This window comes from Homo sapiens, chromosome 2 (assembly GCF_000001405.40).
Source record: "Homo sapiens chromosome 2, GRCh38.p14 Primary Assembly".
NCBI classification, from domain to species: Eukaryota; Metazoa; Chordata; class Mammalia; order Primates; family Hominidae; genus Homo; species Homo sapiens.
The window spans coordinates 178311523-178324915 of record NC_000002.12 but is presented as its reverse complement, the minus strand read 5'-3'; the positions used below and the strand labels follow the sequence as shown (position 1 = coordinate 178324915).

The 13393-nt window shown below is 37.6% G+C and overlaps 1 protein-coding gene across 50 annotated transcripts in view; it reads right to left on the bottom strand.

Moving 5' to 3' along the window:
- The window catches only part of OSBPL6 (oxysterol binding protein like 6), a 209120-nt gene that overhangs the window by 77978 nt on the left and 117749 nt on the right, over positions 1-13393 (bottom strand). For 31 of the 50 annotated variants that reach the window (XM_047443150.1, XM_047443130.1, XM_047443154.1 and 28 more), the window contains one exon: positions 647-739. The exons of 13 other annotated variants lie outside the window; for them this stretch is intronic. In XM_047443150.1, the coding sequence (XP_047299106.1) occupies positions 647-739 (93 nt within the window). Of the gene's footprint in view, positions 1-646; positions 740-1135; positions 1154-2549; positions 2626-4513; positions 4675-13393 lie in introns of those variants that run through there. 6 more of the 50 variants (XM_047443123.1, XM_017003265.3, XM_047443125.1 and 3 more) reach the window with 3 other exon arrangements.

Here is a 13393-nt window from a genome sequence, read left to right as displayed (position 1 = left end):
CGCATAGGTTCTATTTTACCTTGCAGCTTGGGAAGAGCTGACAAGCATTGGTTGTGGAGTTGGACAAGTCTAAGTTTGAATTCTTGCTCTGCTATAATCCTTGATAGCTTATTTACTTATTTATTTATGTTTTTACTATGGGCAAGTTATTAACTCTCAGTTTCCATATTTGTAAAATGTGATAAATACCTACACTGTGTGGAGCTGTTTATGAGAACTATATTAAATGGGATAATAGATTTAAATACTTCTCATAGTGTCCGGTGATGCAGTACATGGGCAATAATGGTAGCTGTTATTATTTTTATTGCTGGATGCAGTTTTTTTTCTTTTCCATTAGCTGGGCATAGAAATATTTGTTTATCTCCAACAGGGAAGGCAATAGCTTCTTTTTCCTTCTTCCCTTAAACAGAATTTTGGACCTTTGAATGTAACCCTACAAATCCCAGCAAAGTATACATTCTCTGTTCTCTCTTATAAAGGGCAGAGAAACTCTACTCCTTGGAAGCAGAAAAAGTGCAAAGAGTTGCCTACAAGTGGCATCACAAGTATTTTAGGGGAGTCAGGTGTAAACGTTATTCACAGTTCAATTGGCCCCAGAGCAGGCATCATGCCAGCAGAGAAAGCACCGCATTTCATCACTGACCTTGGAGAGGGGGACTGGCTCCGGTTCTAGCAATTGCCGACTTACAGAGGGCTCGGTGCTAGAGGAAGCAGTCCTCTCCAGTATGTGAATACTCTGAAAATAAATGAAAACATAGCCCAGGGTTAGACAACTCACTTTTCATGTGAATGTGCATGGGGATGAAATCATACACAACACAGTCAAAACAGTGAGCTATGTTAAAAATGGCAAGTTCCTGAAAAGACCAAAGATAGCAGCAACAGACAGAAAAATATGTCGGCACAGGATTTTCCCCTCCTCTTCTAGATTTGCTGCTGAACTGCTGCTGCAGTGCCGGTTTCAGTCTTGGAGAGTCAGAGGAATATCTCTCGAAAAATTTTATGATACACACAAGAAAACTTACAACTTTATGACAAAGACACACCTTCTACTTAGACTAATCAGGCTTACATAGAAATATTTGCTCATCTCTCCAACTGGGAATAGCAACAGACAAAAAGAAAGGTCTACCTTAAAAAATCCAGTGGCGGCCAGGCATGGTGGCTCATGCTTGTAATCTCAGCACTTTGGGAGGCTGGGGCAGACGGATCACTTGAGGTCAGGAGTTTGAGACCAGCCTGGCCAACTTGGTGAAACCCTGTCTCTATTAAAAATACAAAAATTAGCCCGGCATGGTGATGGAAGCCTGCAATTCCAGCTACTTGGGAAGCTGAAGCAAGAGAATCGCTTGAACCTGGGAGACGGAGGTTGCAGTGAGCCAAGATTGCACAATGCACTCTAGCCTGGGCAACAAGAAGGAAACTCCATCACAAAAATAAATAAATAAATAAAAATCCAGAGCCTTCACACCCTTCAGTCTCTAAAGTTTCTTACAAAAACGCACAGAGAAGAAAACAATTCACCAAATACCATAAACGGTAGGTGTCTTTTACAAAGAGCATTTATATATTAGCAAGATAAAATTTCAACAGAAAAATGGGTGAAGTACACGAATAGTTAACACATGTAAAACATTTGAAAAGATGTTCTAACTTAGAAGTATTCAAAAAGAGAATCAAAATAATAATTTCTTTTACCCATCAGATTCAAGAATGAAGTGGGGTTGGAAGAAAGAAAATATAAATTAGATATGATCTTTCTAAAGCGGAATTTTGCAATTATATTAAAGCCCTTGCGGGGGAAAAAAAGTACATGCCTTAACCTAAATTACATAAATCTACTCATTAAGAATACTTCACTATCTTGGCACATTATGAAAGCATAAAAGAAGGAAACAAATCTTGTTTCATGCACTCTTCAAATACATGAGAGCGAAACTTCCCTACTGTAAAGACTACAAAGATTTTTTTTAAAGGTTTTTTTTTTTTTTTTTTAAATGCATGAGGTGATTTTTCTAAAAAAGAACCATGGCTAATAAAGATCAAAGATACGAGTGTCACTGTAAAGATCAAAGATACAAGTGTCACTGTATTACAGAGATATAAAATGCTTCCCCCACCAACAAATAAATTACCTTATACTTTGAGATAATTTTCCATAGGAAAAGAAGTTTCCAACGTAATTTTTGAAATAACCATTTAGAAATTACACACTTTAGTAGCAAGTTTCTCCCTCACTATTTAATAGAATATCAACAAAAAACTTCATTCAAATAAATATAATAAAGTACAAGACCAGAAACTACCAGTGAAATACGTTATTTATTCATTCATAGTTCAATTTATCAACATGTCATTATTAGGCACCTACACTTTGCCAGGCACAGATGACAGGGCCACAGAGAACAAAACAGACAAGAGAACTACTCTTATGATGCTTATATTCTAGAAAGAGTTCTTATCATACAAAAGACCAAATCATGGTTAGGACTTCTTTGTAAGCCCACATATTAACCTTGTTTCATGTGGCTACTGCTTTTGCTTACTTTAATCTTCCAGTCAGGTATCTCTGATCTGAGCTTCTCTTTAACGACTCTCCCCGATCCCCATCCTTTCAGGTTGCTGGGCAATAAAACACAGATACATCACCAACTGTTTCCCCCACCTCCAAAAAAACGTGGTAAGAAAAACAAAACCTGGAAAGAAACTTGACCTTAGTAACTATGTAGGCAGGAAATAAAGTAACTAAGCTAGGGAAAGGAAATTAAATCCCCTAACTTCCAAGTCAAGCCATAGATATAGAAATCAATGTGGTATATTTGAAGTGTGATGGAAATAAATTTTTCCTGTATAGATACGAGGGGATACTTAAGATGTTGCCAGAATTATGTGGGTCAGAAGGGTTAGTTAGCAACCACACAAACCAGGACCCACAACTGTAAAATACCTACCACAGTACCTAGCACAAAGAAAACAATATTAGTCTCTTCTCCATTTGATGTTACAAAACAGTTTATATTATGGAAGAAAAATAAGAAGTTCAATCACTTCAAATATAGCACAATATATCTAAACCCTAAATTCTGTTGATTTGTCAAAGCCCAGAGAATCATAAAAAACATTTAGTGAGACATAGCAAGTAAATGAATATTTTTATTATCACTAATGTATGTATTTGTTACTGAAAAAGTTAAAGGACAATTTAGAAAACTACCAGCTGCTACCCATTATTGTAATTGTAACTAGCTTCAAAAAATAAGCTATTCCATGTAACCTCCAGGATGACAATGAAGAAGCCAACAGCTCTTGTAGAAACTCACGAGTCTAGAACCTATCATTGTCTATTCAATAATAAAAAATTAATCCACTACCTTGAATTTTCTCCAAACTCATGGTTTTAAAAAAAGCATAACCCTAAAGTTATGTAATTATATACCAAGCAATTTGTTATTTTAAATGAAATATCTAAGTAATTGAATGTTGTATTTTTTTACACCAGCAGCTATAAAGAAGACAGTTTAAACTGACCATACCCAGTCCTGGCCTCTAGCTAGATTGAGTGCTCCTTGAAGGTGGGGACAAGCTCATCTTCATCCTGGAATTCCATCTTCTCTACCCGTAATCCACCCCATCCTAGCACAACAATCTGCACACTGAAGCCAGTCAAAAATGTGTGGAATTTTTTAGTGCTAATTTGCAGAGAACAGTCCTTCAGCAATCAATTACCTTCCAGCTTTATCTTGGAATTATTATTATTATTTTTGAGACAGAGTCTTGCTCCATCGCCAGGCTGGAGTGCAGTGACACAATCTCAGCTCACTACAACCTCCGCCTCCCGGGTTCAAGAGATTCTCCTGCCTCAGCCTCCAGAGTAGTTGGGATTACAGGTGCGTGCCACCACGCCCGGTTGTATTTTTAGTAGAGACGGGGTTTCACAATGTTGGCCAGGATGGTCTCGATCTCTTGACTTTGTGATCCACCCGCCTCGGCCTCCCAAAGTGCTGAGATTACAGGCGTGAGCCACTGCACCCAGCCTATCTTGGAATTATAAAAATCATGCTCCAATAGGATAGAACTTTTGAAAACAGTTAAAAAGCCTAAGTTTTAAAACAGGAAAATCTAGCGGATTAATCACAGAACTCTTACTTATTCAATTTAAAGCTATGAGTAGTCATTAGGGAACACATCAAATTTAATTTCATGACATCTTCAGTTATAAAAATCAGTTCTTTTCATAAGGCTTCCTTTAAGATCATAATTTGTGGTATAATTTTTGTACTTTTCTTCACAAGATAGCTGTTTTCATATTCTTTCAGAGTGAATTGGAAACACATGCCACTACTTTCAAGGTGTTACACACATTATGTAAGCAAGTTAAATAAAGGGTTATGTAAACCAGTTAATTATTCTTCTAAAATCAAGTTTCCTCTCAAATGCTAAAATTATAAGTTAATTTCCAGGTCAGTTTTTTAAGGAACTTAGAACACACAGAGAAGGTGGAAGTACTTACCCGCCCTCTGTTTCCCCTGATCAGAGATAACTGATGCATATTTAGCTTAAAACCAGGAACCTGGAACACATATTTCACTGTAGCTCTTTAATTTGGTAAAAATATGCTCCTCAGGTTAGTGTTCATTGATCTCAATACCTCCTGAGCAGCAAGTGGAAATGTGCCAACATGACTGTAGTCTAGTTTACTTGGTATCAAAGACATAGGTAAACAGACAGACAATGAGACACTTAATAATAGCTGAATGGTTTGGTGCAACTCACGCGGAGAGAAACGTGATTCTCAAAATGAGAGTCCAGGAGATCTGTTGAATAGGGATCTTGTCATTTACTTACTTAAATTTCATTACAAAGATATAAAGACATTGCTGGAAATGTTTTAGACTGAGGCTACAAATTTCTTTACAGACTCACTTTTTCTATAAATTTAGGACAGTAGTAAAGAGAATTGGTCCACTGCTCTCTGAATGTTAACTCCATTGAAATTGTTCACCTAACTATCTTAGCTAAGCTATTTTTATATTCACAGATTACCCAAAATATTTTCAAAGAAAAATATCCAAAATAATTTAGGAATTTCTAAAGTACGTTCTTCAAGCTTTCAGCTATCTCGCATGTATCTCTTCTAGTTATAGCTGCTACTTTGAACGTAGCAACACTATTTCAGTGGTACTAGTAACTTCTGTAGGATAGTGTTGATGATAATGATGACAATGGCAGTTAATAGTTACTGGTTTTTACATTCCTATCTCTATGCTTTACATGAATTATTGCATTCCATCTTCACAAGCCTTTGAATAATGACTATTTAATGATCTGCCTGACTGACCAGATAAAGGGATATAGAGATTAAGAGAGGCACACAGTCACTAAGGGTTGGAGTTGGAAGGTGACAAGATTTTACTCGAGTCAAGCTTGTATATATGGCCTTCTGAATTAACATGAAAGCTAATGTCAAATGACAAAAATAACAGAAATTTCAAATTGATAAATGAACATATCACAAAGCATTCTTTACCACAATCTTCTGTGGATATAGAGAAGTAGAAATGAGTGAAATAAAAAAGAAAAAATTATAGCACTCTTAAATATGGTACAATCTTAGGGATAATTTCTTTGTTACCCTTACAGCACACTCAAGTTAATTTCCAATTTCTAATTTTATTTTATTTTCAAAAACACACTCAAACCAGACAATTTGTAATTTTCCAGAACTGAGAGCAAGTCAGCTAGCTTTTACTTTGGGGGTATGGTGTATGGTGCAGACAAAAGAACATAAATTTTGCAGCTCTACAGACCAGCATACCAACCCTCATCTGCTATTTACTATGACACGTAGACAAACCATTAACCTCTTTCAACCTCAGTGTCCTCTATCTGTAAAATGAGGATAATAATATCTACCTTACAAGACACTGCAAGTCACAGGGTAGGCATCCAGTGTATGCACAGTGCTGCCCAAAGGCTGGCACACAGTAGGCACCCAATAAATAGCAGCTATCATCTCAGTTATAAACATTACAGGAATAAATATCTAGGAATCTTACGCATTCCCATGCCACAGAAAGATGACTTTCAAACACTTTGCTGGTGTCTGACACCTGGGAGCCCTTTTGGAAGTGAGGAAGCCGTGCCTTCCATGACCATCACGTTACCCAGCAAACCCAGTAACCATGGTCAGCATCACCTCATGATCAGGACATCAAAATTTGGTGAGAGAGCTGTCAACGTGAGTTGAGAGAGATGGCCTAGATATTCTCTAATGGGAAGGCAACAGCAGTGATGGCGGCATAGATTGCATCCTTCTGAATGCCTGCAGCAGAAGATGCATGTGGATTTTCCTTCAAAACAGTTTTTTCTTTGCACTAGCATAAAATATTAAAATCACCAAAGCCAAAAGGCCATGGCTGAAGAAGTAGCAATTATACTACTTTCTCCATTATCTGGCCTTCACTGAAAGATGCAGAAGTGCATTAACAGTAGGTCTCTATATAAGCACCCTTAAAATGAATGAAAGTAGAAAATTTTAGAAACAGTGGCTGAAAAAAGTCTACACAGCACACCTGGGAAATTCTGAAGGGAGAAAAGCAAAGTGAGCACAGTCCCATCCCTTCCTGCACAGAATTATGAATCAACCACTATAGCCTCACCATTGAACTGGCCTGTTTTAAGACACCCTGTATTGTAAGAAATACCATGTGGACCCATCAAGTGGTCCATTGATAGCAAAGAGTAGTTCAGCAATATTGACTATGAAAGAGATAAAAGGTATGGGAATAAACAGCTTTTTAATTCCCACAGTTGCCTTTAAGTAGAAATAGAACCAGAGCTTACTGGTGAACTTCCTCCTTATTCTGTACTCATAACACTCAACAGCATAACTAAATCAGAGGAAACCACAGCAACCAGAGTATAAGCACATACGGATCATGCTTCATTACGGCAATTATAAACAAATGGCAAATCACATAGACAAATACCAGGGCATATCAAGAGCTAACGCTCTGGAACATGTAGAGTCAGTTTAAAGGCAGGAAAACTGTGACCTGAAAATAATACTAAAGTTAATCTGTAATTTTCTAAAAGGCTTTTAAAATTACCCAGGGTAAGGATTTTTTAGTATGATAATCACTTACGTGATTTTGCTAACAATACAAGCAAAAAAAAAAAAGTCCATATACATCTTTTTAATATTTATGTAGGTTCATTTGAGACAGAAAGTTGGACTGTTTTGATCACCCTTATAAACTGAGAGCATATCATTCATATATATATCATATTCATTCTTTCAGCAAATATTTATAAGAACATGTATTGATATCAGATCTTATATTTATGAGAATATATGTTCTTTCATTCAGCAAATATTCATCATATACAATATGTTCTCATAAATGTTTGCTGAATGAATGAATAATTATTCTATATATATATATATATATATATATATATATATATATATATATGGTGTCTAAGTTTCTGCTGCGACATAATTAAGTTAAATTACCGTGAGATCAAATGTAAGCAGGAAAGAAGACAAAAGGTGACCCACCTCATGCCTCAGCACCTCAAAGTGGTTTGAAAAACTTGTGCCAAGCTTCCTATGTGGCATAATATCCTTCATACTCATTTAACTTCTAATTTTATTCTTATCGAGGTAGGGTTTGCAATTTCATTATATTTTAATATAATACATAATGATATTTAATATTTGCTGACAATTTTATCATATTTACTACATTCCAAATACTGTTTTAAAGATATACACACACAAACTCATATAATATGACCTTTAGAGAAACACATTCTTTGCAGAAATTTTGGGGGGAAAACAGAAAAATAGAAATTAAAACCACCCATAACCAGCAATAAACTTTTTCAATATTTTGATATATCTTCTTTCAGCTTTTTTTCAATGCATATACACACTCAATTCTTAAAAACAAAATAAAAATTGTACTATTTTTTCAATTTAATAGCCTTTTTGTTTGTTTGTTTTTTGGTTTCAATTAGCAATACAGTCCTCCCTTGGTATCCTTGGGGGACTGACTCCAGGACCTTCTGCAGATACCAAAATCCACAAATCCTCAAGTCCCTTATACATAATGCCATAGTATTTGCATATAACCTATGCACATCTTTCCATATACTTTAAATCATCTCCATATTACTTGTGATACCTAATACTATGTAAATGCGATGTAAGTAGTTGTTATACTGTATTGTTTTTTATTTGCATTATTTTGATTGTTGTGTTGTAGCAGGGGGGATATTTTCAATCCACGGCAGTTACATAAACCATGTTATGTATGTAACTCTTCATATGGCTCAACAATGGCTGGTTCAATCCACGGATCTGGAAACTGTGGCTACAGAGGTTTTAAAAGTAAAAGGTTCCCACAGCATTAAATATTCAAAAGCATTTTTAGCAGCTGTGCAATATTTCACTGTGTGGCTATGAGAGAGGTTATTTAAATATCTCCTGTTGAACATTAGACTGTTTCTAATTTTTTTACCACTATAAAAATACTTTGATAAACATTTTTTTAACTGAAATCTTTAACATGTATCTTTGTTTCCTTAGAATACATGTTTTTAGAAGCTGAGTTACTGGGTCCCATGGTATGACTTTTTAAAAAGACTTTAGATACATATCACTAAATTTCACTCCAAAAAAGCTAAATCAATTAACATGCTTAGCAGTAGTGCAGGAGAGTATCTATTTCCTTGAAGCCTCACCAGTGCTGGCTATTAAAATTTTTGAGAAATCAGCTCTTAATTGGGAGTTGAGGTCAGGAAGTCTGGCACTTGAAATATAAAACATACAGTATGTGCAGAACTTTCCTTTACCTTTGTAAGAATATTTCACTTCCAGTCCAGGAGAGTTACAGTGGATACTGGACAAAGGGAGGTAAGATTTTCTGTTTGTCCAAGTTGAAAATCAAATAAAGCAGTTTTGTAGACCTATGGTCCTTTGGGATGACGTTTTTATAGTTCTAATGAAACACCTAAAAATGTTCTCTGTAAAGTGATCATTTCCAAAACTGAGTGAATAACAGTCTCCTGGGGTGGCTTCTGTAAACAACAGATTCTCAGGCCTTTTCAAGGGCCTACTGAATGAGACCCTCTGGGCTTCATTAACTCATGATACTGTGGCCCTGTCTATTTGGTGTGATGCCTGAGAACCGAACAGGCAGTGCTAATCTTGGATCTGACAGACGAATTTGCTGCTATAAAAATGTCACCCAAAACCAGTCATCTCAAGGTAACAAGAGATAACCTCCAAAGTAAAAACCTGATAAAGGCAGGCCTAGAGAGCTGAAAGGCTTTGGCAGGCACACCAGGGAAAGCAGTGAACAGACTCCTAACCAAGTAGCACTGGGTTCTGAATCATCTGTGGGTAATGAGTATCTGTGTGCCATTATATAATAGATAATGATATTTAATATTTGCTGACACTTTTGTCATATTTACTACATTCCAAATACTGTCTTAAAGCTACACACACACAAACTCATAAAATATGACCTTTAGGAAAACACATTGCAGGTAACAAATCTCTTTCTAGTGGTCTCAATTTCAGCACATTTGACATGGACTGAACATGTACCGTAAACACCATGCAACAGTGACAGAGATCTCCAAAAGGTGGCGATGCCAAGAAAGCTGTGGAGCTGCTCGTTGAAAGGTTAACAGCAGTTGTCAATAAAACTTCTCATTGCAAAAAGATGATCAAAACTTCTCATTCCAAAAGCAATACGTGTAGTAAAAATGCAAAAAATTGAGAAAAGCACAGATAGCATAGAACTCACCTATGATGGCAACAGTTCATAATAACTATTAACATTTTAGTCTATGTACCATTTGATTTACAGTTTCCCAAGCCATCAAGGATGTGAAAAATTACTATTATTGCTCAAGGAAAAAAATGAGGAGGCAATACCTAACTAAAAAATGATTGACAAATGCTGCCTACAAGGTTCACTTCAAAGTATACAGGAGGCCTGGACATCCAGCTTGGCAAGCATTACAACATCTAATAGTGGAGGGGCCAAGAACAAGGGCTCCAGAAACTGGGTTCCAGGGAGCAAATCCTGTCTCCACTGCTCATTAGCTGTTGGCAAGACATTTCACCACTTTGGCCACACTTTGTTCTTTGAACAAAGTGATGACACTTCCAGCCTTCCACAGTGAGAGCTCGTGAAATATTAGCTATTGCTGGTGTTATTCTATTGGTTTGTTCATAAACTTTGCCTAATATTTAGACTCTTCAAAATACCCAGTTTGCATCCAAGTAACAAAAATTGGTCCCAGTCTGAGCTTTTGCAAACAAATATTATTTTCTCACTGACACTGGTCCTAAGTCCCAAAAAGTTGATTCCATGGGATGAGTGGATTCCCAAAAAGGCTAAACTGAAATTTGAATCAACTCAATAATTTAAATATACCTAGCACTCCAGAGAGGACACTGCAGATTTTCAGATCAGGTTAGTGTTTCTCTCTGAACTGACAGCTGGGTTCCAGGGTCATCCTGCAAATCCCTGGGTCCAGTGGAATTCTACACAGAGCTAATAATTCAGGTTATATTCCTCCTTACTGGTAACACTGGAGGTGATTGTAATTGGAGGTTAGGTATCAAATCAGGGATGCTTGACTTTCTTTTCTTTAGAAATTAGAACATTTTTGTTTGAGATAACATGCTACTTTTCACAACTCAAGGAAATCCATTTCCTATTTAGAAGATTTGACACTATGTTTCAAAGTAGTGATTTAGTTATTTCATTCAACAGAGCGATTTGAAGATGCTACAGAGGCTCAGTCGGAGGAGACACATTCCAATTCAGTTCACGTATATGCTGGGGGATCTTTTTATTAGCCTGTTTGTTCAACAAGAAAACTTGTTATGAAAACTTTGCACATAAAGGATAGATGTTGATGAGAGACATTTTTACTGTCTGGTTTTCCAGGCACCTTCTTTACTTATAATGAGTTTCCTGTATAACAGATGCTGCTGAAATCTGCTGTGAATGGCCATGCCACTATCCCATGGTTACACCAGCACATGGTCCCACTGAGTCACTGCTGGGGATGGCCTTAATATGTCACCAGTGGGCTTTGAATGAATAGGCCACTGTTGGTTTTGAAATGCATTGCTGTTGATAATACATAGGAAACATTTTAGATACTCATGTAATTGAAATATATAGTTGTTAAAAGATGGACCATTATACGGAATATAGATTTCATAAAAACTGGTAAGAAGATGAACTTCTAGCCTCTTATGACTTATTTATTTTTTATTATTTATATTTTTTCCTTAAAATGTTCTTTATTTTATTATCTCTGAGCTTCAGCAAACTTTGAGTCATTACGAGGGCTGGCTGGCTTTTTCTTCTTTGATTTTTCATTGAACAAAAAAATTGACTCATTTAAGGATTTACAAGGTCTAACCTGGTGGAGATACATATAAGAATTCACCCATAACAGATGCTATCACCTGAAAATTATGCATTCCAAACCCTACATTCTCAGAGCCATAGTGTCTGATTTTCTGATATGACTTGAAAATAATACAAATAAAAATAATCATTGGCTCCAAATACAGGACTTGCTTTTGAAAATGCAGATCCTTGGGCATAATCCCAGAACTACTGAAAATGCCTCAGAAACATATATTTTGTTAAAATTCTCTAAAATATGTAAGCATAGGCCAGGCGTGGTGGCTCATGCTTGTAATCTCAGCACTTTGGGAGGCTGAGGCAGGTGGACCTCCTGAGATCAGGAATTTAAGACCAGCCTGGCCAACATGGTGAAACCCTGTCTCCACTAAAAATACAAAAATTAGCTGGGCGTGGTGTTGGGCGCCTGTAATCCCAGTTACTCAGGAGGCTGAGGCAGGATAATTGCTTGAACCTGGGTGGCGGAGGTTGCAGTGAGCTGAGATCACACCATTGCACTCTAGCCTGGGCAACAAGAGCAAAACTCTGTCTCCAAAAAAAAAGAAAGAAGGAAAGAAATGTAAGCATAAAAGTAATTATGGAAACAAAATCCAGTCAGTGGGTCACAAACTGAGTGACCTTATTATATAATGTGACCATAAAATATATACTGATCAGGAAGCAATAACCTTCGTTTTAAAATAAAGAGAGGCTGGGTGTGGTGGCTCATGCCTGAAATCCCAGCACTTTGGGAGGCTGAGGTGGGTGGATCACTTGAGGTCAGGAGTTTGAGACTAGCCTGGCAAACGTAGTGAAACCCCATCTCTACTAAAAGTACAAAAATTAGCCAGATGTGGTGGCAGGCGCCTGTAATCCCAGCTACTCGGGAGGCTGAGGTGTCAGAATTACTTGAACCTGGGAGGCGGAGGTTGCAAAGAGCTGAGATTGTGCCACTGCACTCCAGCCTGGGCAACAAAGCGAAACTCTGTCTCAAAAATAACCAAAATTATCTGGGCATGGTCGTTCATGCCTGTAATTCCAGCACTTTGGGAGGCCGAGGCAGGCGATCACCAGAGGTCAGGAGTTCAAGACCAGCCTGGCCAACATGGTGAAACCCCATCTCTACTAAAAATACAAAGTTAGCCAGGCGTGGTGGTGCACCTGTAATCCCAGCTACTCGGAAGGCTGAGGCAGGAGAATCACTTGAACCCGGGAGGCGGAGGTTGCAGTGAGCCGAGATTGTGCCATTACACTCCAGCCTGGGCAAAAAGAGCGAAACTCCATCTCAAAAAAAAAAAAAAAAAAAAATTACAAAAATCAGCTGGGCGTGGTGGTGCTCGCCTGTAGTCCCAGCTACTCTGGAGGCTGAGGCAGGAGAATCACTTGAGCCCAGGTGGCAAAGGCTCCAGTGAGCTGAGATGGCACCACTGCACTCCAGCCTGGGCGACAGACTAAGACGCCATTTCAATTTAATTTCAATTTAATTTGACGCCATTTCAATTTAATTAAATAAAATAAAGAGATACCTCCCACCTCCACCAATATGTTTAACACCTGTGCAGAAGAATGCTCCCAACTCTCTGCTTTTGTCTGCTTTTGTCCTTCACATGATTCCACTTATTCCATCACACGTCCACTCTCAGGAGCAAGAGGAAGGGACTGTGCTCTCTTAGGTCCTCTCTGCTGCCTTTGGGCTATCCTTCATTTACTCTCAAAATCCACTCTTGTGGGACTTGGAACTCCAAACAATATCATCTCTCCCTGTTGTCATCTCCTGACCTCATGATTATTCCTTTGCAGCTATCAAGACCTCTGGAGCCGAGCTCCCAATCTTCTCTCCATCCTGACTTCTCATTCATTCATTTATTGCTTCTAATACATCTTGAGCATACCAAATGTGAGGCGCTGTACAAGGTGCTAGGAATACATTATTGAGTGAAATA